At 54.9% G+C, this 25,815-nt stretch overlaps 1 protein-coding gene across 1 annotated transcript in view, besides 8 other annotated features; it reads right to left on the reverse strand.

The window, feature by feature from the left end:
• Window positions 1-17,815, reverse strand: part of IGSF9B (immunoglobulin superfamily member 9B) — a 60,531-nt gene extending 42,716 nt beyond the window's left edge. Inside the window, exons 1-3 of the mRNA NM_001277285.4 lie at window positions 17,538-17,815; window positions 6,908-7,105; window positions 5,067-5,213 (exon numbers count right to left, since the gene is read on the reverse strand). Coding sequence (NP_001264214.1) covers window positions 5,067-5,213; window positions 6,908-7,105; window positions 17,538-17,601 — 409 coding nt within the window. The 5' untranslated portion in view covers window positions 17,602-17,815. The remainder of the gene's footprint in view (window positions 1-5,066; window positions 5,214-6,907; window positions 7,106-17,537) is intronic.
• Window positions 353-1,075: an enhancer, noted in NCBI's record as "H3K4me1 hESC enhancer chr11:133809401-133810123 (GRCh37/hg19 assembly coordinates)". NCBI's record gives its function as "activates a minimal SCP1, AML or CMV promoter by ChIP-STARR-seq in primed H9 embryonic stem cells {active_cell/tissue: H9 hESC(primed)}" and the evidence as "EXISTENCE:reporter gene assay evidence [ECO:0000049][PMID:30033119]".
• Window positions 1,076-1,797: an enhancer, noted in NCBI's record as "H3K4me1 hESC enhancer chr11:133810124-133810845 (GRCh37/hg19 assembly coordinates)". NCBI's record gives its function as "activates a minimal SCP1, AML or CMV promoter by ChIP-STARR-seq in primed H9 embryonic stem cells {active_cell/tissue: H9 hESC(primed)}" and the evidence as "EXISTENCE:reporter gene assay evidence [ECO:0000049][PMID:30033119]".
• Window positions 5,856-6,584: an enhancer, noted in NCBI's record as "H3K4me1 hESC enhancer chr11:133814904-133815632 (GRCh37/hg19 assembly coordinates)". NCBI's record gives its function as "activates a minimal SCP1, AML or CMV promoter by ChIP-STARR-seq in naive H9 embryonic stem cells {active_cell/tissue: H9 hESC(naive)}" and the evidence as "EXISTENCE:reporter gene assay evidence [ECO:0000049][PMID:30033119]".
• Window positions 7,314-8,042: an enhancer, noted in NCBI's record as "H3K27ac-H3K4me1 hESC enhancer chr11:133816362-133817090 (GRCh37/hg19 assembly coordinates)". NCBI's record gives its function as "activates a minimal SCP1, AML or CMV promoter by ChIP-STARR-seq in naive H9 embryonic stem cells {active_cell/tissue: H9 hESC(naive)}" and the evidence as "EXISTENCE:reporter gene assay evidence [ECO:0000049][PMID:30033119]".
• Window positions 8,318-8,547: an enhancer, noted in NCBI's record as "active region_5767". NCBI's record gives its function as "activates an Ori minimal core promoter by ATAC-STARR-seq in GM12878 lymphoblastoid cells {active_cell/tissue: GM12878}" and the evidence as "EXISTENCE:reporter gene assay evidence [ECO:0000049][PMID:35858748]".
• Window positions 12,011-12,754: an enhancer, noted in NCBI's record as "H3K27ac-H3K4me1 hESC enhancer chr11:133821059-133821802 (GRCh37/hg19 assembly coordinates)". NCBI's record gives its function as "activates a minimal SCP1, AML or CMV promoter by ChIP-STARR-seq in naive H9 embryonic stem cells {active_cell/tissue: H9 hESC(naive)}" and the evidence as "EXISTENCE:reporter gene assay evidence [ECO:0000049][PMID:30033119]".
• Window positions 12,755-13,498: an enhancer, noted in NCBI's record as "H3K27ac-H3K4me1 hESC enhancer chr11:133821803-133822546 (GRCh37/hg19 assembly coordinates)". NCBI's record gives its function as "activates a minimal SCP1, AML or CMV promoter by ChIP-STARR-seq in naive H9 embryonic stem cells {active_cell/tissue: H9 hESC(naive)}" and the evidence as "EXISTENCE:reporter gene assay evidence [ECO:0000049][PMID:30033119]".
• Window positions 17,644-17,993: a silencer, noted in NCBI's record as "silent region_4089". NCBI's record gives its function as "represses an Ori minimal core promoter by ATAC-STARR-seq in GM12878 lymphoblastoid cells {active_cell/tissue: GM12878}" and the evidence as "EXISTENCE:reporter gene assay evidence [ECO:0000049][PMID:35858748]".

Genomic DNA, 25,815 nt, shown 5'->3' on the forward strand with positions numbered 1-25,815 from the left:
GCACCAAGAACTTCTGACCTCAGGCCCTTTGCATGTGTGGCTCTACCTGCTTAGGACTACATACCTGGAGCTCACTCCTTTGGGTTATGCAAGTCTTTGCTAAAATGCTGCCTTACCTGGGCAGCCCATCCCATCTCAGATGGCACTTCCAGCATTCTCTATTCCCTGGTGCTGTTTCATTTTCTTCAAAGCACATATCACTTACAAGTCTGTCTCTCTCTGTGTGTTTACCTGTTTCTTACCTGTCCCCTTTATTAGGATGGTGGCTCCTTAAGAGCAGCCCCCTTTTGCGTAGGTCACCACATGCCCAGCTTTTAGCATAGTTCCTGGATGTAGTAGCCAAGGGCTCAGCAAACATTTGTTGAATGAACGAAAGAATGAAACAAACAAATGAGTGGTGTTCACACATACACAGACCTGCAGGCCGATACCAAAACACTTCTTAAGAGCAAGGCCACAGCTAGACCACTTTCATCTCTCATCTCCAAAGCCTGCAGCTCAGTGCAAGCGCAGCAGGGGCGCACGGAGGGTGGCCACTGAATGAATGCAGGAGCACACGTCATCACATGCAAAAACACGCACCTCGCACGTCCTTGCACGCGTCATCGCACACAGAAACACACACCTCGCCCGTCCTCGCACGCGTCATCGCATGCAGAAACATACACCTTGCATGTCCTCGCACGCGTCATCACACGCACAAACACACACCTCGCACGTCCTCGCACGCGTCATCACATACAGAAACATACACCTTGCACATCCTCGCACGCGTCATCACATGCAAAAACACACACCTCGCATGTCCTCGCATGCGTCATCACATACAGAAACATACACCTTGCACGTCATCGCACGCGTCATCACATGCAAAAACATACACCTCGCATGTCCTCGCACGTGTCATCATATACAGAAACATACACCTTGCACGTCCCCGCACGCATCATCACATAAACATACACCTCGCACGTCCTCGCACGCGTCATCGCACGCAAAAACACACCTCGCACGTCCTCGCACGCGTCATCGCACGCAAAAACACACACCTCGCACATCCTCGCACGCGTCATCGCACGCAAAAACACACACCTCGCACGTCCTCGCACGCGTCATCGCACGCAGAAACACACCTCGCACGTCCTCGCACGCGTCATCGCACGCAGAAACATACACCTCGCACGTCCTCGCACGCGTCATCGCACGCACACACACCTCGCACGTCCTCGCATGCGTCATCGCATGCAGAAACATACACCTTGCACGTCCTCGCACGCGTCATCACATGCAAAAACACACCTCGCACGTCCTCGCACGCGTCATCGCATACAGAAACATACACCTTGCACATCCTCGCACGCGTCATCACATGCAAAAACACACACCTCGCATGTCCTCGCACGCGTCATCACATGCAAAAACACACACCTCGCATGTCCTCGCACGCGTCATCACATAAACATACACCTTGCACGTCCTCGCACGCGTCATCACACGCAAAAACATACACCTCGCACGTCCTCGCACGTGTCATCACATGCAAAAACACACCTCGCATGTCCTCGCACGCGTCATCACATACAGAAACATACACCTTGCACGTCCTCACACGCGTCATCACATGCAAAAACATACACCTCGCATGTCCTCGAAAAAATCAATTCTTATCCAGTGTCTAAGAATATACTAAAAATAATGGCAAAAAGTTATTCGAAGTCCTGTAAAGGGGTCCTGGGATCCTAACTTGCAGGCCTCTTCTCACTGAGAGCGTGCTTATCTCCGACACAGCCCCTGCCTGCCCGGCCTGCCCCTTGAAATACAGTGAACACAGATACTGCCTCTATTACCTCTGGTGCCAAGCTTAAAAGAAAAGATAATAAATTAAATTTACATCCTGAAGTGACAAATTACTTACTAATTACATAATTACTTTATTATTTAGGTGCTAATCAGGAAAGTACGTTGAACAATTTCTAGTTTTCAGGAAAATAATGGCTTGACTGTCAATTATTTACGGAACTAGATGTCAGCTTGCCAGCTGCATTTCCAGGCTTAATTCTTTTTTACAAGAGCCCTGTAATTAATAGTGCAGGTTAGAAATAGGCTGCCCTCTCCTCCATGTAATTCACCAACCTAAAGGAAGGCTTGGCTCAGGCTTTTGGGGTATTTTATATGTGATAAAGAAATAATTGGGTCTGTTTCCACCCAACTGGTCTTCAAAGAAAACACCGAAGGAAAATGAGACAATTTGTAATTCTAATTGTTCACTGGCCTTTCATTTTCCAAAGGTGATCCCCGTCAGAAAATGCCTGACATTAAACATTCTAGTTTGAAAGCAACGTAATGCTGGTGCTTGGATTCCTTCCTTCAGTAACGGAAATTTTTATGCTGGAAGGAGCCTCGAACTTGGGAAGAAGAGAAAGGCAGAAGAGGAGAAAGGAGATCTCTCACCGCAGAAGGGTTGGTTCTGTTCTGCCTGTGCGCAGGTAGGTGCCTTGATTATGGAAAAGCGTCTTTTATTATCAGCCCTGGTTCTCAAGCCTGGAGCAGATGGTGCACCATCCCCAGCTTTCCCGCCCAGCATTTCCCTATGAACAGCCTACCCGTGTTCCCTGAATGCGCCGCTCTCCTCGCTCTGGGCTTCCGAGCACGCTTGTCCACTCTGGCTGGAGGACCCTACTCCACTTCCCACCTGCACGTGACGAACTCCCCTCCCTAGCCAGGTCTCTGAAGAGAGGCCATTTCTTCAGAGAAGTTCTCCCTCCTTTGTGCTCCCAAAGCCATATGGCAGTAATCTCTGGATGTGACAGTCTCTTGAAGTCTCCTTAAGACCTAGGACAGGGTCATGCCTCCTGCTGTATTCCCAGAGCCTGCCACAGAGTGGATGTCCAAAACTATGTTTCGAATGGATAACTGCTGGTAGACTCACAAAACTACCAAAGTCCTCTACACCTTCCGGCCTGATATCCCTGCTACTAGATTTTCATCTGACTTTGTTTTTTTTCCTCTCGAGAAGGAGGATGGCCAGCATCTCACACATAATTACCCACATGTAATTAACACTCCAGACACTGTGCAAGATCCAGCATTTCACCTAGTCCTCACAGCAGCCCTGCAAATCATAGTCCCTGCTTTTTGTAACTGAGGAACCGGAAGTCCGACAGGTAAGTAACCTTGCCCAGAGCCACACAGCTAGTACACAGTGGGTTTATGAAACGAACCTCATCTTTTAAAGGTCTCGCTCCATGCTTATCCCACTCAAAGCAATTAGGAATTCCCAAAGAACCAACTCCCACTCGTGCAAACTAACACAGATACGCTCCAGAACATAAAATTGAAGTGAGATTCTACTTTCCAGTCATACGCACGTCCACTGAATGCCTGGTGTCTCAGATTCCTGAAATGAACACTGCCAATCAGGATGATGCAAAAGAACGGAGGCAGTGCCCCAAGATGGTTTCACCCTCCCATTCAGAATAGAGCACAGTCGAGAAGGGAAGCAATGCGGGGACCCTCAGCCTGGTGTTCATCAAGGCGAGGTTTTAGCGGCAGATTTGCCTTCCTAATTACACTTTGCTTGGGCTCCTGTTCCCTGCTCACGCAACAGCTGGCACCAAAAGGCGGTGACTCAAAAGCTTACCAGGTGGTCAGAACAATCCCCCCAAGATTTCAAATATGCTTCAATCAGTCTCTTGGGACTGATTGACAGGAGCCAGCCACCTCCCACAGGCAGGGCTGGGCTAGGCAGGCTGGACCCACACCAGCCTAGGGCCACCAGCTGTAAGGTTTCTTTTCTCAAAGCCAGTGATCTTGCTAAAATATAACATATTCCGTTCTTCCAGGGTCCTGGACAAGTTCTCAGACCCAAAAGGAACACAGGTCTGGCCCAGCCCCCCCAGGCAGGGCAGACAGAGCCACCCTTCGGAGCAGATAAAAACTGAGAGAAGCTTCCAAGCCAGGAACGTCAATTTCTCTATTCTAACCACAGCATCTATGGTCTCAAGGACCGTAAGCTGTATGTGGCACACCCAAGCACCCACGCTGTTGAAGCCTCAATAACTAGCACAGTATCTGCCACACAACGGTGGCTAGATACAAATTTTGTCATCAATGGAATAACGAAGGACACATTGTTAATTTTTTGGCCAAAAAACAAAACGAAATGTTTTTTAAAACCCGCTCCCCTCCCACGACGGGGACCACTTCTCCTTCATCTTTTCTCCATGGTTCCAGCCTTCTAGCTCCTCCAGAGTACCTCCTTCCAGGGACACAAAGAGGAGACTCTCCCTCCAGGGAGACCCCGAGGACCCAGCCTCTAGTGCTGTCACCGCTGGGGACTCAGGCCCCCAGCCTAGGCCAACTCCCAGAGCTCAGCAAGCTCTTGGGGCTTCCTTGCCCTTACCCAGATCCTTGAAAAGCATCTTATCCAGCACAAGGCATTTAACCTGAGCTGTAATAACTGACGCCCATTAAAACTGTGACGCTTCCCAGGATGCCTGCATTTTACTATGTGGTAAACCCCGCACAGGCAGGGACTGGGTGCAGGTCTGCTTGCCAGTGTTTATCCATCATCAGCTGCAGAGCTGGATACACACTACACCCTTGGTACATACTAATCAAACGAATACAGTTAAAGAGAACCAAAACATCGATCTAAAAAGAAAGACTAACTCTGGGACCCCAGGAACTCCACCAGAATTGGGGTAGCAGGGTCTTCCCAAGGCTGGGAAATAATCCCAGCGGTGACCCATTTTGCCACCTTAAAGCCTCAGCCCTCCTGGTTTGAAGTAGCAGCTTCCCATGTCCCTCTAAGGACTCTGACAGCACCACACATGCAGGGAGCTGCCGCTCCTGGGCACCTGCACTGCCTGCACAGGCTTCGAGAAGACAGCAGCGGGGACACTGCAGGAGTGAGCTGATGTCTCATGGGACCACAGCAACAAGGAGGGGGGCAGGGGGTGAGATGCAGTTGGGAGAAGGGCTTCCCCTGGGGCAGGCCCACCCCGGAAACAGCCCTCAGGCACCGTTGATGGTGAGGTGGACCCACCCTGGAAGCCGTCACTCACCGTTGATGGTGAGGTGGACCCAGCTGCCATTGTGGAAGGTGTCATACTGCTGGTCCAGCATGAGCACTTTGCACTCATACCAGCCCTGGTCCTCAGAGCGAACTTGTTCCAGCCGCAGAGATGCCTTATCATGAAGACTGGCCCGGCCTGGGGGAATAGAGCAGACAAAAGCCCCACAGGCCATCAGGTAAGGACAGCAGCTCCCCGCCCCCTGCCCCAGCTAAAGACAGGGGACTCATCATAATCTTCATACCATTCCCTATGGCAGGGCTCCAGAATAACAGCTGGCACCCACCTCCAGCAGCAGGTGGCAAAGGAAAGGGCATAGCACCTTGGCCACAGAGCCACTCTCCCGCCCCAGCTGGCCCTGCCCCAGCCTGCAAGGCAACTCAATGCACTTGGCATTGAGAGCAGCCTCAGTTCCCTAGAATACTCTCATTCTTTTGGAGGTCTCCTGAGACAAAAGTAAGGCATGATGGATACAGAGCTGTGAAGAGATGAAAGAGAGAATGAAAAAGTGCCAACAGAAGAGGATGGGTGGGGGGTCTCCAGCGCACCCGGGAGCACCTCCATTCAGGCTGAGCAATATCCCTATCCCAGCAGCATTTCCAGGACTACTGGCTCACCCAGCTTCCCTCTCTAGGGCAGAGGGAAGGCAGGCTGGGGTCCAGGATGCTAGGGTCCCCTCCCAGTCCTGCTGTCAGTGCCAGAGAGACTATGTATCCTACCAAAGCCCAGTGACCCCAGGAGATGAGGGCAGCAGGGCCCAGAAGCCTGAGAACAAGGAATGGGTTGGCCATCAGAGCAAACATCCTGGAGGCACCCTTCCTCAGCTCTAATCCCCTGCCCCAGTAGGATGCCATCTGTGTCTCACATGTGGCAATGAGGAGGCCAGAGGTGCAGAAGCCTCTTCCATGACGCCAGCAGGGTGGAGCAGCCCTCGAGGTCGGCCCACCTCACCCGCTCTTAGCTCACCCCTCACCGCAGCCAATATCACCACACCTCTGCTCTCCTCCTCGTCCTGATGCTGGCAATCTGCCTAAAAACTAGACTCTCAAAGCCAACCCTGGCCAAAAAGAGAGCATGAGACATGGGCACAGGAGCGAAAGAGGGACAGAGACGGAAGCATTCTGAGAAAGGCAGGGCAGACCTCAGAAGCCACCAGCAAAGATGAAAGTGAAGGCAGTGCCCTGCCTGCTTCCTCCCTTCCTTTCAACCCCAACAACGCTCGCTCAATGACACGCACACGCACGCACACACACACCCACGCCCTCCTCTCCCGCGGGCTGGGGGGCAGGCAGCGGCAGTGAGTCACGAGGCCTTTGCTGGCAGGAGTAACTGCCAAACAGGACACAGACGGGGCCAGGAGAAGGAGAGGACAGCATGACAAGGAGGCAGACACCAGGCACCTGCAAACGGTGGGAGGCCAAAGATTCATCCATACACTCAGGACGGGAAGGCGCCCCGACTTCAGAGCCAAGAGGAAAGGGGTGGGTGCGGCCAAGCAGGGAGAGCCGTGCTGGCCCAGGGCTGCCTGACTCAGTCTGCTGTCCTCTCCATCCCACTCTCCCACCCAGGCCTCTCCAGCTTCCCCTTTGGCTCCCAGCCCTCTCCACAGCCCAGGCGGTGCTGTTCAGAAGGCTTTACCCTGCCCCACCTCCACAGCCCTCTCCTCCCACCGCTTGATTAGAACCAACAGAGGACAAAGGATGGGAGGAACCAGGCAGAGACTGGGAAACAGAGATAAAGAGTGGTCAGGACAAGGCAGGGGCCAGAGGGGAACCACCGAGGAGCTGACTCCAGCTGGGGAAGGTGCGGGAGACCGGGTGCCCAGACCTTACCTGCATACTCAGGGTCCACGTGCGGCGGGTAGTAGCCAAACTTGATGAAGATAGGGATGGGGACCCCGAACTTGAACCACTCTACGACATAGGGTGGGGGCTGTCCCGTCACTGGGTGGATCACGTCGCATCGCAGGACCACGCTCTCCCCAGCTCTTGCCGTCACAAACTCGGGCTCCTCTCGCAGGCCGTGGGCGCCTGATGGGGACGGCCAGGTTGGACACAGAAAGGAGGTGACAAAGAGATCCTGCCCCAGCAGCCCCATGTCCGTGTCACAGGGTCACCCCGCCCCCCACCAGCTGCCCTCCATGGGCCACCGTACCCTCCCAGGAGGGTCCCAGGCACACCCTCCATCCCTCTCCCCCTCGCTGCTCATACCTCCCTCTGTCCTGGGGCCCCCAGGCATCCACAACTTGGGGGAAAGGAAGGGAGAGGAAAAGAGAGGGAAGCCATTCTCTTCAGCCCTACACGCCAGCTCTTCCCTCCCCAGTCTCAAAGAGCCGCAGGCGTCATCCAGCCCCACCCCCTGCTGGCATCCTGCCCCAAGAATTACAAGGAGTCCAGGACATGGAGGTGAGGGGCCCGGCCCCCTCTGGAGGCCCACGGCACTGCCCAGTTGTGGCCGCTCGTGCACAGGGAACATTCTTTCTGCTCCAGGACGCCTGCCACTACAGCCTGGTGGGAAATGACAGAGCCAGCCTTCCTCCTCCACCCCACCCCCAGCTCAGCCCGATGTGCATGGCACAAAACAAGGGTACTCCATGCAGGAGCAGGGAAATCCCTAACAAGCTCAGCCGAGGCTGCTCGTGGCAACACCAGAGGGAAACCCCGCAGGCTGAGCCGGCCTCTCCAGCCCCTCCTCCCAGCACAGTTCTGCCAGCCCTGCCGCAGAGGGGGGAGTGGGAGGGGCCCAAGCCCCAGACATCACCATTAGGAGAGCAGGATGCTGGCGACAGAGGAGGGAGATCCCAGGGCTGTCCCCACGTTGGGCAGAGGAAAACGAAATCAGACGGTGGGATAGGGAACACCCACCCTGGCTGGCAGCAGAGAGGGCGAGCAAGGCAGCAGGCGGGAGGACCACCCCTGCCTCCACCCCACCACAAGCTAGAGGACGCCGCAGAGAGGAAGAGCCACGCACCCCAAGCGCCGCAGCACCACTCCTGGGCCCAAAGAAGGCATGCAGCCCTCCTCCCACGCCAGGCTCCACTGCCAGGCAGGGCCAGGGAGGCCACAAGGTCACCTTGTCCAGTAACGTCCCAGGGAAAAGAACAGCTGAGGGGAAGCCTCACCCCCTTCATTCCCTGGTACTACCCCCTACTGCCAGTTGACCACAGCTTTCCCCAGCCCCAGACCCTTCTGGTCCCAGGCCGGGCACCCGACTCTCCAGGGCAGCACCTAGGACAGCAGCTGCAGTACCGAAGCGGCAGCTTAAAGACAGAGAGCCAGCTGGGGACTCCCGCAGGGGAGGATGCCCAGAGGAGGGCAGCACCAGCCCCTGCCATTCCCCATTCCGGTGCCTCGGTCTGACTCTCTCTGCATCTCGGACCCCTGTGTGCACCTCGCTGTCTCTTATCCCTTCATGTCTGTGTCTGGCCACCTCTCTGTGTCTGTGCACGCACACACACATGCTGGGCTCCTCTGTGTTTGTTCTCTCTCTCTCTCTCTCTCTCTCTCTCTCTCGCATCTCTGGATCTCTGTTTGTCTGTCTTACTGGTTCCTCTGTGTGTCTGTCTGTCTGTCTCTCTCTAGCTCCTTCTCTGGATCTCTGTTTGTCTGTCTGCCTTGCTGGCTCCTCTGTCTGCCTGTCTGTCTGCCTATCTGTCCTGCGGGCTCCATTTCTGCATGTGTCTGTCCGTCCATCTCTCTCTGGCTCCTGCTCCTTCACCATGTCTTTCTGTGTCTCCCTCTGTCTCTTTCTCTCTAGCTCTTGCTCTGTGTGGGTGACTGTGTCTACCTGCCTATCTCTCTCCCTGTTTCTGTCTACCAGCATGTGTGCGTGTGTGTGTGTGTGTGTGTGTGTGTGTGTGTGTCTGTGTGTGTTTCGGTTGGCTCATGCAAGGGGAGGGGTTCTGCCTGCTTCTCTGTATGCAAGGGCTCCGTCTCTGCATGTATGTACTTCTGTGTCTGTGGCTCTCCGTGTCTGTCTGTATGTCATCTCTGTGTGTCTTGTTCTCCCCCTCCCCCTCCCCTGCAAGTTGCGGAAGAGGGAGGAGGCAAGCCCTTCCAGAAGCTGATTGGCTCCCGGTGACATCACAGTTTTCTAGAGAAAGAGCTAAGATCACAGAGTATTTTTGGAGCAGAGCAGAGCATTGCACTCACCTGCCTGAGGCCCCAGCATGCTTCCCAATTTCCCCCACCCCCAACCTTGCTTCAGGCTAAGTTTGCAACCCAGCCCCTCAGGGAAAGCAGGGAGAGTGCCCAGCTGCAGCCTCACCTCCCCCACAGCCCCAGGGGCCCTCAGCAGGAGAGGCTGCCTCCCAGCAGCCAGGATCACAAAGGCGGATGCTGGACCAAGAGGAATGGGTGAATAATGGGTGCCATGAGTTTGCAGAGAAGCTGTGTGTGTGTGTGTGTGTGTGTGTGTGTGTGTGTGTGTGTGTGTGTCTACAGCACACACCTGTGAGGAGATAAGAAACTACAAGAGCCTAGGGGAAGAGGAGGGAGTTATTCCCAGGTGCCAGGTTACCTGGAGGAGGGCAGAGTGGGCAACAGAAGGTGGTTCCTTCCCAGGGCTTTGGCCCAGGCAGGAGGAACAGAGGCCTAGGGGGACAGCAGGCACCTCCAACAGTGGAGTTTGCTCTGGTGAGCTGGCTTCCAGGTGGAGGGCTCTAGCGGGCAACGCCAGGAGGTGGGTTGGCTTTGACGTGGGTTCCCGCTGTGAGGCTGCTCATTTGCACCGAGCCAGCCTCATTTTCACTGCACAGCAACGAGGCAGGCTCTTCAAATCTTCCCCAGCGCTGGGATTCCACCCCAGCCCCAGCCAGCCCCTGGGCTAAGCGCTGAGCACCCAACCCAAGGCCTACCTCCAAGGCAGGCCGTCCCCTCCCAGCATCTCTTCCCAAAGACCCTTTCAACCAGGGAGAGGCAGCTGCAGAGAGGACACATCCCAAAGAGGATAAGCAAGACAAAATGAGAGGGAGCTTCCCCAGAATAAAGCAGTGGTGTGGGCGCCCATGTCCTGGCCTCCACCCTCGCTCCAAGCCCTCTTGCTTTTCTGGATCCTAGAATATTTATTGGTTTTCTGTCATCTCCTTCACACACACATGCGCACGCACACACACACGCACGGCATATTCTCTCACTCCATCACCCACAAGCACTTCTCCCTAAGCCTGATCATTTCTGAGCCAAAGTATGTCTAATAACACACTCTCTCCAGAAAAGCTCAATATGAAAAAAAGTAATCAGGCTAGCAGTAAAGAGGGAAGATGGAGGATAGATAGAGAAACCCAAATACAGGGGGAAACCAAACCCACATCCAGGAGCAAAAGAGGTGCAAAGTGGAGAGCAAAGAGGAGAGCAGAGGAGGGGCCAGGTGTGGAGCCCAGCCCTGGGAGGGTGAGTTCAGGCCAGCTGGACACAGACACACCTGTGTGTGTCTGTGTTCTGTCAGAACACCCCAGAGCCTGGGTGGGGGCAGATGGAGACTGGAAGGGGGAGGGGCTGGCTCCTGAAGGGAGTGGGGAGGAAGGGGAGGAAGAGAGGAAGGGGAGGGTGGAGTGTGCTGAGCCCCTCTCCATCACAGCAGCTCAGAGGGGCCAGGCTCCCCCCTCAAAGGGGGAAAACCAGCATTGTCAGGAGTGGGCACAGGGAAAGGCACCATAGGTCTCACTCTCTTTAGAGAAGGCCAGAAATAGCGGTGCCCAGAACCTAGTAAATCTGTATCTTGGGGGTGTGTCCAGCTCCCTTTGGAGCAGTTATGGCGGGGAAGAGAAAGTAGGAGGGCAAGGAAAGATAAGGCAGCCCCCAGAGGTCTGGCTGACCTTTTGGGAAGCCCACAGGGTACAAATCTCCTGCTCTCTGGGCCAGGTGGTACCCAGTGGGTGGCTGAGTCCAGGGCTGCCGTTGGACCCCTGTGCAGAACCATGAGGCATCCAGGGCCTGGCACAGCCCATGTCTAGCACTCACAACCCGGAGCTCCTCCGCCGGGGAAGGGCTGGGGAAGGAGGGTGCCTGAAAGCAGGACTGCTCTGAATACGGAGGAAGGTGTGCAGGGCAAGGTGTGAGGAGCAGGGCCGGGCGAGCATCAGCTGGCATGCAAGCCTCGCGTGCTGTGAATGCCTGCTGCACCCTAGGCTCTGTGCTGGGAACGCAGGGAATCTCAGTCCCTGCCCACAATGGCCTCCTGACACACGCACCGCTGTCTCCCATTGAAAAATGAGCAAACGGGGAGTTGCGCCGCTCACCCAAAGTTACTAGGTTCCAGCTGTGCCCGATGCACGGATGGTGTCCCTATCCTTCTCAGAAAGCAGGTGGGGCAGAGGTCATCCTGGCCCAACCCAGGCGCCGGGATCAAGGCCTTTCACCCACTGAGCCTCACTTTTCCCTTTCTTAGGGCCTGAGCCAGAGGTCGGCAACTCCAACCCCACACTGGGGACAGGTTTTGCCAGCCCAGACCCTGAAGCCTAGGACCATAGGGTGGGCCTGTCTCAGAAGGCGGCCGGGTGGGCTCTGACCAGCTCTGAGGAGCCTGGCCTTCTGCCTGAGACTCTGAGACCCCTAGCTGGGTCTGGCTGGTGGCTGGGGAAGCGGGGAACGGAGTGAGCACCAGCATCCGTTGCTCATTAGTACAAGTCCTTATTGCAGCCTCCTCCTCCTCCTCCTCCTCCTCCTCTGGGCACCAGACTTCCAAACCACAGGCCTGTTGTCTAATAATACCAGCGACAGCCACCGCCACCTCCATCTGCCAGCCTAAAAATAATCCCTGCTGAGTCCAAAAAAGGCACAGCCCCCAATAGTCCCCCAACCCCTCCTCCCTGACAAGCCAGGAGGCTCCAGGAGATTCCAGGAAGCCGGCAGACCCGGGGCTCTCACAAAGTGGGAGGCACACGCCCAGAGGAAGGCAGGAGGAAGGCGGGACCCAAAGCACAGCGAACACCCAGAAAGGACGAGGCGGCGGGGGAGAGACCTGGTCCAAAACGCCGACGGTGTCCTGTTCTCCCTGCAGGAAGGCAGACGGGTACGGGTTGTTCTGGACAGCCTTCTGCCTGCGGGAAAGCCCCCACACCCAACCCGACAGCACCTCAGAGCATTTCCACCCTTCAGTGATCTCCCCTTCATGCCCTCACAGCCCTCCCGGCCCCCACGCGCCACCAAACCTCTCAGGTTCGGAAGCCACGGGTCAGGGAGCCCCAGCCGCTCCTTAAGGAGAGAGAGGCACTGGGGAGGTGCAAGCTCAGCAGGCTCCTTCCTTCTGCGGGGGCCGCTCCGGCCCTGAGCCTTCTCGGCTGGGCTCCCCCAGCAGCTGTGAGGCCGGGATGCTATTAGCAACCTTAATTTGCTCTCGGCTAGATTGTATTTCCAAGAGTCCTTTCCCCAGGAGCCACTGGCAGGAAGGAAGTCAGTAATTCAATCTCTGCTCCACTCCTTTAATGGCTCCTCAGCAGAGGCAAAGCCACACCCCCACTGCCCCTCTCCCCACCTGGGCAGAGGCCTGCCCGGCACTCACAGGGCCCAGGTGCACGCGCCCCTGCAGCCGGCAGGCCGCCTGGCCAACTGAGGGCACCGTGGGCTCGGCCCCCAGGAGGCTGGGCTCCGTGGTAAGATGCCAGATAGAGGCAGTAAGTCCGTGGGAAGCCGAAGTCCCATGTTTACTCCCCGGGCAACATCAACATTCCTACTCCAAAGCCAGAAAATGAAGACAGTGACTCACCTCGTACAGTCTGTGCCTGTGTGCAAGTCACAGGCCCCCGCTCCATCTCGGGGGCACACACGACCAGGAGGGAGGCAAGGGGCCACAGAGGACAGAAAGCCAGGCTGAGCGGGACCTTCTCAGAAAGGACAGTCAGGCCGGCTGAGACTCCTCCCAGCTCTGGCGCACTCGGACTCTTTCTCCAGAGCCCTCTTGGAGGCCCCATCTCCTGCTTATTCACGCAAGAGAGAACAGAAAAGCAGGAAGATTCCCAAGAAAAATAGGTCAGCTGCCTCCAGCAGACTGGGCTCACACCCATGGGCAGCGCCTTTTGGGGAATGGGCATAAGCTGCCTATCCAACCCCAGAGTCCTCTGGAGTGAGCAACTGAGACACAGCCACACCCTCAGGGAGACAGAGAGGCCCTGGGCTGGGGCCTGCCACTCTGGTAACCTCTGTGCTGCCTAGACTGCAGCACCAAGGGCACCGTGGCAGAGTGGGAGGGGATATGAAGGCAAGAAGTTGGCTCCAAGGGTCTCTCTGCTCTCAGGGCTGCAGCACGGAGAGGAGTGGCCCCCACCTCGTGTCTGCACACTAACTTCCCCACCCTGCCACTCCACGCACGTGCACACAAACACACAGGCACTCAAGCACTTGTGGGCAGGCACACATACAGATTTCACATGTATGTGCACACAGGCATACATGCATGTGCATGCACACGTATGGGCACATGTGCACACACATACAGGTGTGCACACATATGCAATGCACATACATGCCAGCATGCATACACACAGGGGCACATATATGCACACATGCAGGGGCACACACATATGTACACATATAGGAACATGTGTGTATGCGCACACACATGTGCACATGTATGCATGTGCACACACACACACTTCTGGACAGCTGGAAGCTCTCAGCAGTTGCAGCTCTTTGACCATTCAGATCCACTCTTCACACAAGCTGCTTCACCTCTTCTAGGAAGCAGGTGGAAGGGGACCGCTCCCTAAGTACTCTGCACCCCAACCTGAGAAGGCCACAGGATGTGGAGAAGAGAGCTACCTTAAATCTCAGGCCCAGCCCTCTTTGGAGCTTATCTCCCACCCCCACATCTTGAAGCACCCAGCAGGGCTGAGGAAGAGAGGGCCAAGGAAGAAGACACAGCCAGCACCCTGGCTGGGGAGAAGGCAAAGGTACAGGAGGTTGGAGTGAGGGCCAGAGTGATGCTGGGGCTCAGAATCTTCCAGCGAGGCAGCCTCTGCTCCTCTGTAACCAGATTCCAGCCTTCTGTCTCAGAGCCATAAACACGAAACCACTCAAGGTCTATCTAGGACCCTGCAACTCCAGGACCAGCACATGCAGGGCCACAGGCCCGCGGCTGAAAGCTGATTGCCCTCTGCCCCTCAGCCAAGCCCTTCTCACATCCCCGTCTCCCCAGCTTCCCACAGGGCACAGGCTGCCAGACACACTCCTGTCCCCAGCATGTGTGTGCTGAGGATACACACACACATCCATCCAGCCACTGACCACTTCCTGAGTGAAGTCCTTCTCAGCCGATAGGCTCACCACGGGGTCTTGATAGCAACCTCTGAGTCCAAACCTCCACCCTCCCATCTTCATTACCAAAAGGAAGCATAGGTCAAGGCCAGGTAGAAAGTAGAGGGCAATGGCCCAACTACCAGCAGGATCTGAGTCAGAACCTCACTGTATTTGGGGACACTGTAGTCAGGGATAATGTAACGACAGAATCTGTGGCAGACAGAGGAGGCAGCCGTGGGAGTAAAGTCTGGGACTTTCCTCCCCTATCCAAGGTCCACAATCAGCTAAGCACGGCCCAGGGTCCTCCCACAGAGTAGGAACTCCCCCGGGCTGGCTCAGCAGCCGTCTGAGATACTGAGTGCACACCAATCACTGTCTTCCAGGTTCTGGGTACCACTCCAGCCCCTCTCTTCTCCACACTTCCCCAACCTGTCCACTGACCTTAATCACCTCCCAGGCACACACACTCAAAGTCAAAAGGAGGAGCCCATTCCAACCTCTGTCCCGCACCCGAGGGCTGATGGAGTCGGGTCCCAACACAACATCATCCCTTTCCCCCTCTGCCAGAGCAGCCCCTGCTATGGCCAAATCCTAAGGGTGGCATCTCAAAGTCCCTCCTGCTGAGGGACTGCCCCAGAAGTCACCTCTGCCAGTCAGGGAACAGCTGAGCTCTCACAGGGAGACTCAGCAGCATGTGGACACTGGCTGGTGCTGCTCACACGAGCGGGCGCCCACCCGCTCTCTCCAGAGGCTGTGTGTTGCAAGCCCTCACTTCCCGGGCTGTGTCCTTCCATAAACCTCTGGCCACCAACAACACTCCAGCTTTGGAGACCTTGCAAAGGACTTCCGAGCAGCTTTGAGGCCCGCACATCCTGCACACGTGTCCCTGGGATGCCAGGGACAAGAGGTTCTGCCCAGACAAGGTCAGCCCAGAAAGGGGTCTTACTTCCTGACACAGGCAGCCTTCTGAACTTCCCCGCAACACATTCTCAGCTCCTAGTGCCCTGAATGGCCCAAGGGAAAGAAATTGAGGAGGATCTTGGAATCCCAGGGACACTGAGAAAATAATGTTAATGTTTACTGAGCACGTACTATATAACAGGTAGTTGTTTTGTTTCCTTATAACACTCATGTCCACCTAAAAACCCTAAAAGTACATGCTATTGGCACATTTTCTATTGAAGCAAGTGACATTTAGAGAGGTTGAGAATTTGTCCAAGGTCACAGGGTCGGCAGGTGACACAGCCAGAATCTGAATCCCAGTCATATGGCTCTAGACCTAGGTCCTTAACTACCACACACAGAGCAATTGAGGCTAAGAAAGACCCCAAGACCAGCAAGGTCACCCTCTGCTTCCAGACAGGGGTACATGTCCAGCCATTCCAGACAGAAGGACCCCTCTGCACCCTGAAAGAGGGCATAACCTTCATGCCAGGCAGCCTTCAATTTTGGGAAGCCCTTCCTTCTATCTTGCGATTCTGCGTGTTGCTGCAGTATAAACTCACATTCCTTTATTCTGGGCTGAAACTTGCAAAGAAGTCCATTGCCCACCCTGACTTAGGTTCGGAGGCTATTTCAGAGCCTTCCTTCAGCGTCTCTTTTCTATTCAAAGATCCCAGCTCATCCTTTTGTGCTTTCAGGGACAGTCCCATAGCAGGAACATACCAAAAACGGGAGGGGAGGAGGATGCGGGCATTGGAAGACGGCAAGGAAATGGGGGAGAGGATGAGGCTACAGGCAGACTGTCAAGCGCAGCCCGATGCACCTCACATCCACCCCCCGTTCCGTAAGCTTCCGCCATCACCCTTGCCTCAGTGTTCCCACCTGACAAATGAAGAGTTTTAAAACCGTCCGGACCAACATGTCAGTTAACAAAATCACCCTTCGCTTCGCCCTCTGCTCGTTCTGTTTTCAGACACCACCACCCCCCTCAGAAGCAGAGGCGACATATTCATTCCATTCCGGAAAGTTTCCTGAAGCACGCCCCCCTGCACAGACGAGTGACGAGGGGACCCCGTGAGAGGCGCCTCCAGCCCACCCGGCGCCCCATGCCGCTGGGAGAGGGTTCTCTGTCGGCGAGTCCTGCCTGCTGACTCCCACCCACAGCGGGTTCTCTCCCGCCGCCATCTCCTCCGGCTTGGTGAACTTGCCCGCAGCCGGGTCGTGTCTGCGCGCTGACAGCCCTGAGCTCACAGTCCTGGCACCCTCCAGGCTCCGCTCCCACTTCCATACAAGGGCCGAGAGCCGGGGGTGCCACCCAGAGGCTTGTAGGTCGCTCTGCCCATCTCCAAAGCAAAAGCCCGCGCGCTCACGCACGCATCACCCAACTCGGTGGCTCCCCCCTTGCGTCTCCCCCAGCTCAGACCCAGGAAAGCGGAAAGAGAAAATCCCCCCTCCGCTCGGATTCACAGCGTGGGGACCCCCCCTTCCCCGCCCCTCCCCTCCCCCGCCGCCGCCCCCAGCCAGCTCTGCCTCGCAGCCTGGGGAGGGCGGCGTGGGGCCCGCGCGGCTGCGGCGCGCTCCCGGGGAACTTTTGCCTGGCCGGGGCCCAGGTGCGGCTGAGAGGCGCGGGGGCCGGCGGGGTCCAGCCAAAAGCGGACACACCTCGAAGCTGGCCTCATCAATCCTCCTCTCACCGGGCGCCCCTGCTAGGGGGATCCGACCTCCAGCTGCCAAGATGTGTGGGCAGGAGGGGCGCGAGCGGAGCGATGGACGCCCGCAGGGCCGCGCGAACCCGGGGCCTTAGACGCGGGTGCCGCCAGTCCCAGGGATCCTCCGGGTCGCGCCTCCCTGCAGGCGCTCCTCGCGGCGCGGGGCTCTAGCGTGCTGCAGCCTGCCCGGAGACCGCAAACTCCCGCAGCCAGAGTTTCCCGCAGCTCTGGGAGGCGGCCGCCGGGCAGGAGGCGACGGGCTAGGCGCGCCGGTGTGCACCGTGGGGCCCGTGGTGGGCGAAGTCGACCCAGGTTCCACTGCGTCCTTTCCCCGAGTGCCCGGCAGCCCGTGGGCTCTGGCCCCTTCCCGCCCGCCCCTCCAGCCCACGGCCCCCAGGCCCTCCCCGGCAATGCTCCCGGGCCGCCTGGCCCGCGTCGGAGCCCAAGCCTCACCCGCGGGAAGGCGCGCCGGGGAGCTGGGGAACCGGGGGGCCAAGGAGCCGGGAAACCGAGGGGCCGGGCGCGAGGGGCCGAGGGCGCCGGGAGGGGCAGGGGAGGGACGCCGCACTTCAACTCACCTTCAGCCGCAAGCCCTCGGGTGCCGATCACACTTGCTATGAAAGTGGCCACATACCAAATCATAGTACTACCGCGCCAGCCCGGAGCCTCATCCTATCGCAAAGTGCTCCCGCGCCCGCACGCGCCTCGCGCCCGAGCGCCCGCCTCGCGCCCGCCTCGCGCCGCCTACGCCCCGCGCCGGTGCTCCTGCAGCCCGGGTGGCCAGCTCTCCATCCCTCCTAGGCTCCGCTCGGCTCGGCGCGCGCCTCCCCGGCCCCGGCGCAGCGGCACCTGCACTACTCGCCCGGGCGGAGCGCAGCCAGGTCCACGGTGAAGCCTAGCCGGGCCGGGCCTCCGGAACCGCCCCCGCCGCCCGCCTATTGGGCGCCGCCCGCAAGCCGGGGGTCCGATTGGCTCAGCCTTCCGCCCGTCGCGGCGCGAAGGAGGCGAGCCCATTTCAAGGTGCGTTGAAGTGTGGCGAGCACAGAGCCGCAGAATCATGCGCATTGCCGGGGAGAAGGTGGTATAGCGTCTCTGCCCGCTTCTCTCTCGGCTCACACTGCGTGGCAAGTTTCTGGTGAGGGAAATGGTAGCTTCTAACGGGACCCTGGCGGGTCTCAATTACCCCGGACAGGTCTGAGGGAAGTGGAGCCCCCGCCCACTCATGGAACCCAACATCCGGTTTCCATCCGGCAAAAAGCAGTTCCCGAGAGGACCATGCTGATTCTATGATGGGGAAACCCAGGAGCCGGCGGCCCGGGAGAGCCGGGGAACGTCCTTCGCCGGAGATCTTTTCAAAGAGGTCACGCGCCGCCTCCCCACCCCGTCTCCCTCCGCACCCAGACACGTCCCCAGAGCAGCGCACCACCCCCTCCAAACGTGATGCAGACCGGGGGATGACTAAAATGACCTCTCAAAGTCGCTAAGATTTAGAGTGAGTCATTGGCTCAGCTGCGAAGTGCCACAGACCCCTCAGGAACACTCGTGCACACACACTCCACCCCCAGTGCTGGTCACTGCTGCTCATCATTACTGAATCCCGACTCCAAGCAGTCAAAGTTGGGTCTTTTTCCCACTTCTCCTGATAAAGGCTGCTTCCTCACGCACATGGTTCCTCCCCTCTCCACCTTACTCGGAGCCCAGCCCCGACTCGGCCGCATGAAACCAAGATGGGTTTGGGGGAAGCTTTAGGAGTCTGGGATGGAGGAGACCCAGGGAAAGGGAAGGAGCTTCTCATCCTACAGAGGAATGTAAATAGGAAACTGGAAGGTCTTCGTATGTTCCAGTCTCCCTACCCTAGCCTGTCTGCTTCCCCTCCCCCAATACAGTTGTATTTGCAGAAGAAATAAATGAGTGTCATGGAAACATCTACTACAAACAATCACCTCACACCAGCGCTCAGAGGCTGCAGTGAAGATGTTTGTTCTTTCAAGGAGTGAAGGCAGTGGTAAGAATCACACCGCTCCCTGGGATGGGCTGTTGGCCAAGGAAGGAAGGCAGAGGGTCAGCGAGCGAGAGCTCAGGAATTTCATCCTCTCAAAGCACTCGTTAGCCACAAAGCCCTGGCTCCAGGACATGAAGCTCCCAAAACAACAAGAAGGAGACTTGCTTCTGGGAAAGCGTGCACACAGGTACACACACATGCACAAAAAGTGGCCTTGAACACCGGAGGTGGAGCATTCCCTGACACCGGAAGCCTCTTAGCTCACCGCCAGCTGGGAGGCAGAAAGAGGCCCCCAACAGAGCAGTCAGTGAGCACATGGATAAAGGTCGAGGGCCTGGATAGATCCAGAGAACCAGGACTGTTGAATAACCTTCTACCCTACCCACCCCTCCACCTGTGCAAACACACTCAAGATGCATAACTTGGGGCCATCTCTCCCTGAGCCATGATTTTGGTTCTCTTCTTGGGCAAAGATGCCTTTCTGGGGACAATGAAGTGAGCTGCTCCAGGTCTCATTGATGCAGTGATCTCCAGGTCTCATTGATGCAGTGATTTCCAGGTGGCATGACCCAGAATAACTCCACCCCCAACACACACACACACATATACATACACACACACTTACACACTTTCCCAGGGCCCCGGGACTGTAAAGACATATTGGAATCCATTTGCAGAATTGGTCATAACAGGATCCTTCTCCTCCCACAACCTCTAAGCAGCTAACTGTGGCCTAGAGAAAAGTGCCGGATCCACAAAGCCTGGCCCTAGTTCCTCACCATTGTTAGGTATGGAGTGGGAAACATCAGGTCTCAGAGAAACCCTCTCCTAGGGGCCTGCAGGGCAAGGAAAAAGATGGAGCCACTCTCACCACCCATCTTGATTGCTTTGTCTGGCCATCCATTTGTCCTACTCAGGGTTCTGCCTCCTGCTAGGAAAGTAGAACTGTCTGTCAGAATGGATGGCGGGCATGGAGGCTCATGCCAGTAGTCTCAGCTCCTCAGGAGGCTGAAGCAGGAGTATTGCCTGAGCACAGGAGTTCTAGGCTCAGTGATCATGCCACTGCACTCCAGCCTGGGTGACAGAATGAGACCCTGTTAAAAAACAAACAAAAACAACAACAAAAGTGTCTGTCAAATTGGAAAGAAAAAAACACGTAACAAGCTTTAGAACATGAGTTGGGTTGGGAAGGGGTTCGAAGGATCTATCTAAAGAGGAGAACAAATTTCTTCTGGATAATTCTACTGGAAACAGAGTGGAACAAGGGATGAAGGCAGAGAGGAAGGGGAAGAAAATTAAGATACAAAGGGAAAAGTTCGTCATCATCATCATCATTAGACATGTCTCAACTGGGTTTCAGATCAGCTAAAGAGAGATATACTGTATCAGCTTACAGTGAGGAGTGAGTCTGATCAAATCTTTTCCTCTTGGCGTATGGCTGAGCTTTGGACCCAGAAAGGATGGTTGCCCCTTCCTAGAATAGACACATCCAGTTGAGTGTTCAAGGGGAGCATGGACCCCAGATGTCCAAAAGGGACATGAGGGAGGAACATGAGCCACTTCCCTGCGCAGCTCCTAGGTGTACCTGAATGTCATCGATGTCACTAATAAATGCAGTAATATATCCAGGAATGCTATGTATATCAGATACGGGAGTGTCTGTCATCTTCTTTTAAGAGGTACTGACTTTTTGGAAATACAAAACAATAGTCTTATCAGTGTGTCTATGAAAAAAAACCAAATGTAGCCACCTACCTGCACATCCCAGAGGCCTTTGGAGGACATGTGAGAAAGGGGGCTGACAGGAGCTTCAAGTGTAGGAGAAGAGGAAACTATCCTCCTTCCCTCCTCATAGTCATCGAACAAGGAGGACTCAAAAACAATAGTTCACTTGTCTGTCACTTCTCACCTTCCTCAGTGGTTCCAGCCCTCATTGCAGAATCTAGGGTAGAACAATTGTTGGGACAGCTGCTTGTGAAAAGGAGAGGCAGTTCTAAATAAAAGCAGTTTACTCAACACAAACACCAAAGAGCGTGTTTAGTGTTTACATAAATAGGGAACTGTATCAGTTGTCTTACCGTGTAAAAACCCAGCCCAAAATATCATGGCTTAAAGCAAGAAGGCTCATTCATTTGCTCTTGAATCCGCAATTTGGACACTGGCTGGTGAGGACAGCTCTTCTCTACTTCATGTGGCATCAGCTCCACTGGGGTGTGGACCTTTCTCCTTTCAGGATGGCTTACTCACGTGGCTAGCAGGTTGACGCTGGCTGTTAGCCTGGGCTGCCAGCAAAGGGCTGTGATTCTTCCTCAAGTGGGCCTCTCTGCAGGCTGCCTGGGCTTCCTCAAAGCATGGTGGTTCCAAAAGCTGGCATCCCAGTAGAACCAGGTGAAAGGCATATGACCCTTCATATCCCAGCCTTGGAAGACACCTAGCATCACTTCCATCAGGGTCAAAAACCTGCCCCAATTCAAAGGGAGAGGACACAGTTCCCCACCTCTCAATAGAACAGTGGCCCTGTCACTTTTTTTTTTTTTTAGACGGAATCTTACTCTGTCACCCAGGCTGGAGTGCAGTAGCGCAATCTCAGCTCACTGCAACCTCCGCCTCCCAGGTTCAAGTGATTCTTCTGCCTCAGCCTCCCAAGTAGCTGGGCCTACAGGCACATGCCACCACATCCGGCTAATTTTTGTATTTTTAGTAGAGACAGGGTTTCACCATATTGGCTAGGCTGGTCTCGAACTCCTGACCTGGTGATCCACCCACCTTGGCCTCCCAAAGTGCTAGGATTACAGGCGTGAGCCACCGCACCCGGCCCCTGTCACATTTTAAGAAGAACTTACGGGATGGGAGAGAGTGTTGCAGCCATTTCTGGATGATACAATTTGCAATGAAAACAGTCTTCAAAATTGAAGGAAAAAAATGACTGCTAGAAGAAATATCTAGAAAGAAAGGTATATATTAGAGTTCTCCAGAAAAAATAGAACTAATAGGATTGATATAGACATCAATATTGATACCAATATACATATAGAGATATAACGGGAGGTATTATAGAAATTAGCACATGCAATTCTGGAGCCTGAGAAGTCCAATGCTATGCCATCTGAATGCTGAAGAACCAGAGAAGCTGGTGGTATAATTCAGTCTGTGTCTAAAGACCTGAGAACCTAGAGTTCTGATGTCCAAGGGACAGGAGAAGCTACCCCAGCTCCAGAAGAGAGCAATTTGCCCACCCTCAGCCTTTGTTGCTCTATATGGAGCTTTGATGGAGGGTAGGATGATGGCTGCCCACGCTAGTGAGGACAGACCATCCTCACTCAGCCTCCCAATTCTGTCGCCAACCTCTTCCAGAAGCACCCTCACAGACACACCCAGAAAGAAAGTTTTGTGAGGTATCTGGGCAGCCCTTACCCTAGTCGACATCTAAAATTGACCAACACAAAAGGGCTTGGCATATAGTATCCGATCTCAGAGTTTTCTCCCTTTGAGTCAAGCTACCACTACCAGTCCCAGGTGTCAGGGATGTACGCTTGATCCTTACAGAAGACTAGCCTGTTTGTGAAGCAGATCCTTTCACCTTGCTTTCTCTTAATACACCAGAGACCAGTCAGCATATTTTAAAAGAACTTGGAGGAGAGAGGAAAATAAATAAAATTGCATTTCTGAAACATAAATATATAATCTTAAGATCTGACGCAGAAGTGGAGAAAAGCTTTGCAAGGGTCTCAAGCCCTCTCACCGTAAGAATTGTTCATCTAGGCTCAAAATCCTCCCACAACGTTGCAAGCACCTCACATGGCGTTCGTCTCTCCTGGCTCCCCGCTTGTCTCTTGGGTGGGTGGCCTCTGGTCTTAAGTTGTTTTTCTGGACCCAAGTAGATATTCTAACCATCCATCTTGCCCTCTCCAAATATAAATTCCTGAATACTTTGTCTTATTCAAACGCAAACTTCATTATGAGTCAAATTTACCAGGTTGGGCATGGTGACTCACCCCTATAATCCCAGCACTTTGGGTGGCTGAGGCAAGAGGACCGCTTGAAGTCAGGAAGTTGAGACCAGCCTGGGTAACAAAGCAAGACCCCATCTCTACAAAAAAAAAAAAAATTTTAAATTAGCAGCACGGTGGCATGCTCCTGTCGTCCCAGCTACTTGGGAGGCTGAGGTGTGAGGATCCCTTGAGCCCAGGAGTTCTGGGCTACAGTGAGCTATGATTGCACTACTGTACTCCAGGCCAGGTGATAGAACAAGACCCCATTTTAAAAAAATTGCTACAATGTCCAGAGTTCTATTGAGGTGCAATCTCCTCTGAAGGCCACAGCTTGGTTAGGTGGTGGTAACAGACCCAGAGACTGATCCAGCCCTTCCTAGCTTAAGATACCCGTTCCGACCACCATAGGATCATTTTATATTTCATCCAGATGAGTCCACAGCCCAGGAAGAGGATCTACCCAAATCCCATCCATTGCAGGGTGCAGCCTAATGTTGCTTCCCTGTGCTCTCACCATCCCGCGCATACGGCAGAGGTAACATGTATGCTAACTGCTGCCCACATATGCAAGTGGGCAGCAGATGACACTCTCTCAGAACCTGTCCTGGTCATTTGTGTGTGCACAGGTATAAACATGCATCTCTACAGAGCAGAATTCTCTCATGCTGAGCCTGAAGTCCAAGTTCTTAAAGATTTGTTTGTGGCAATGTAGTAGAAATTAATGATAAAGAAACTAGAATTTTAGCTGAACTGTATTCATTTCTTGCCTGGCTGAGAAGGGAGGAGTCCTTGCCCAAGGTCGAAAGTAGACCTATAATTTAGGATAAGTTTATTTGAAAACTAGGTGGACAGCACCCTCAGCCTTACTAATCCCTCTCCTCTTTCTTCTAGGTGTTCCAGGCCAGCTCTGAACAATCTCAGAGAAAACATATTTCATTGTTGTGTGACTTAAGGTAGGACTACAGAAAGGAAGTTCATTACTCTGCATGAAATTTGTCCCATAGAACTCAGGAGCCCTATATAGATAGCCCTGCTTGTGAACTGCCCCCCAGGAACATTTCACCCACACTGTTCAGCAACTCCTCACCTCGCCAATGTCTGCATCATTAAAAATGTTGTTCTCAGGCCTCCTGGGGCTACCCTGGCCCACCTGAGTATGCCCTTGTCTGCCCATGGCCACAGGCCCCAGCTGCAAGGCGCAGTGACAGATGAGCAGAGCGAACCTCACTCAAACTCTTGGCATCCAGAAGTCTGGAAGACAGCTAGAATCAGGGCTCCACTGCACCATCCAGCTCTGGCCCCAGCAGCCCAAAGGTGTGGGTCATTCTCTTTGTCTGAGTTCTACTTCCTCCATCTGGAAAAGGGACCGTAGAAGGTAGTGGGAACTAAGGCCCAGGAGAGAAGGATCTGAAGACTCTGATGGGCAGTTTCTTTGTCACAGACTCTCCAGCAGCCCAATGTCATGGCCCTGTGATATGATACAGGAAGAAAATGAGACCTGGCTTTCTCCCCAAGGCTTGAATAGCCAGAGATTCTAGTACAGCACAGACCTTCCACAGAGGCACATGGAGTCCTGGACTCAGGCAAATGGCAACCTTGAAACTGCCAAAAGGTGGACTCGAGCAGTGGCTCAAGAAGCTGTGAGGAGTCAGCCAAGGAGCAAGCCATGCTAGAATGCCAGAAACAGACAGGCCCAGGGCCTACGCTCAAGAAGCACCAGCAGAAGGGATTCCACAATGAATGAGTAGCACCTGGACACCAGCCTGCAGTCAGCACTGTGCTAGGCCCTATGGAGAACACCAGAGTGACCAGCCACAGTCTCAGTCACTCAGGACCTTGGCACCTGGATGGAAAAACAAGGCTGACCACATGAACGGCACTTACTAAACTCTGTCTACACCATCGCAAGAGTGATGATGGCCCAGACTTGAATTGCAGTAGAACAGGACAATGGCGCCGTGGCTCATGCCTGTAATCCCAGCACTTTGGGAGGCCGGGGCAGGCGGATCACCTGAGGTCAGGAGTTCAAGACCACCCTGGCCAACATGGTGAAACCCCATCTCTACAAAAAATACAAAAAATTAGCCTGGCTTGGTGGCAGGTGCCTGTAATCCCAGCTACTCGGGAAGTTGAGGCAGGAGAATCACTTGAACCCGAGAGGTGGAGGTGGCAGTGAGCCGAGATTGTACCATTGTACTCCAGCCTGGACAACAAGATGGAAACTCCATCTCAAAAAAAAAAAAAAAAAAGAAGGAAAAGAAAATGGAGATGGTGCAGATGGTGAGGGCTGAGTGAAGGAAGTGAGGTCTGAGCTCAGTCTTCAAGAAAGGAGAGGGAGAGACGGAATGGAAGAATAAGAGACTGCCAGCCAGGAAAGCTGCTGCTCTGAAACTTGCTGAGGTCAAGGGGCTGGCCTGTGCAGCACCTAGCCAAGTGGGCATTCCCTAAAGATGTGTGGCAACCGAACGTGCGGAAGTGGCAAGGAGGTAGCCCGGCTGGTCAGTGTGTGGCACGAGGAACAGGCTTCCATGTTTAGAACAGAACTGTGTTGGGGGAGAATGAGGAAATAAGTCCACTCAGAAAGGTGGAAAGGAGGCATAGGCAAATGGGGCGAGTTGTAGGTTAATTTGGAGGGAGGTGGTGAGAAACAGGTCTGGGTGGAAGGAAATGCTGAGGAGAAAGCACCTCTCTTGGCCGAAACAAAACTGAAGCCGAGGGCACAGAAGTGGGGGCTGGAGAGAGGAAAGAGGCCCTCGCAGGGGTGTGGGGGGCCTGCGCTTCTGCTTTGGGCCTGCAGATGGATAGGCTGGGGGTGGGGGAGGAGACTGGGCCCTGGAGCCACAGCTGGAGGGCTCTAGGGGG

This window comes from Homo sapiens, chromosome 11, assembly GCF_000001405.40.
Source record: "Homo sapiens chromosome 11, GRCh38.p14 Primary Assembly".
NCBI classification, from domain to species: domain Eukaryota; kingdom Metazoa; phylum Chordata; class Mammalia; order Primates; family Hominidae; genus Homo; species Homo sapiens.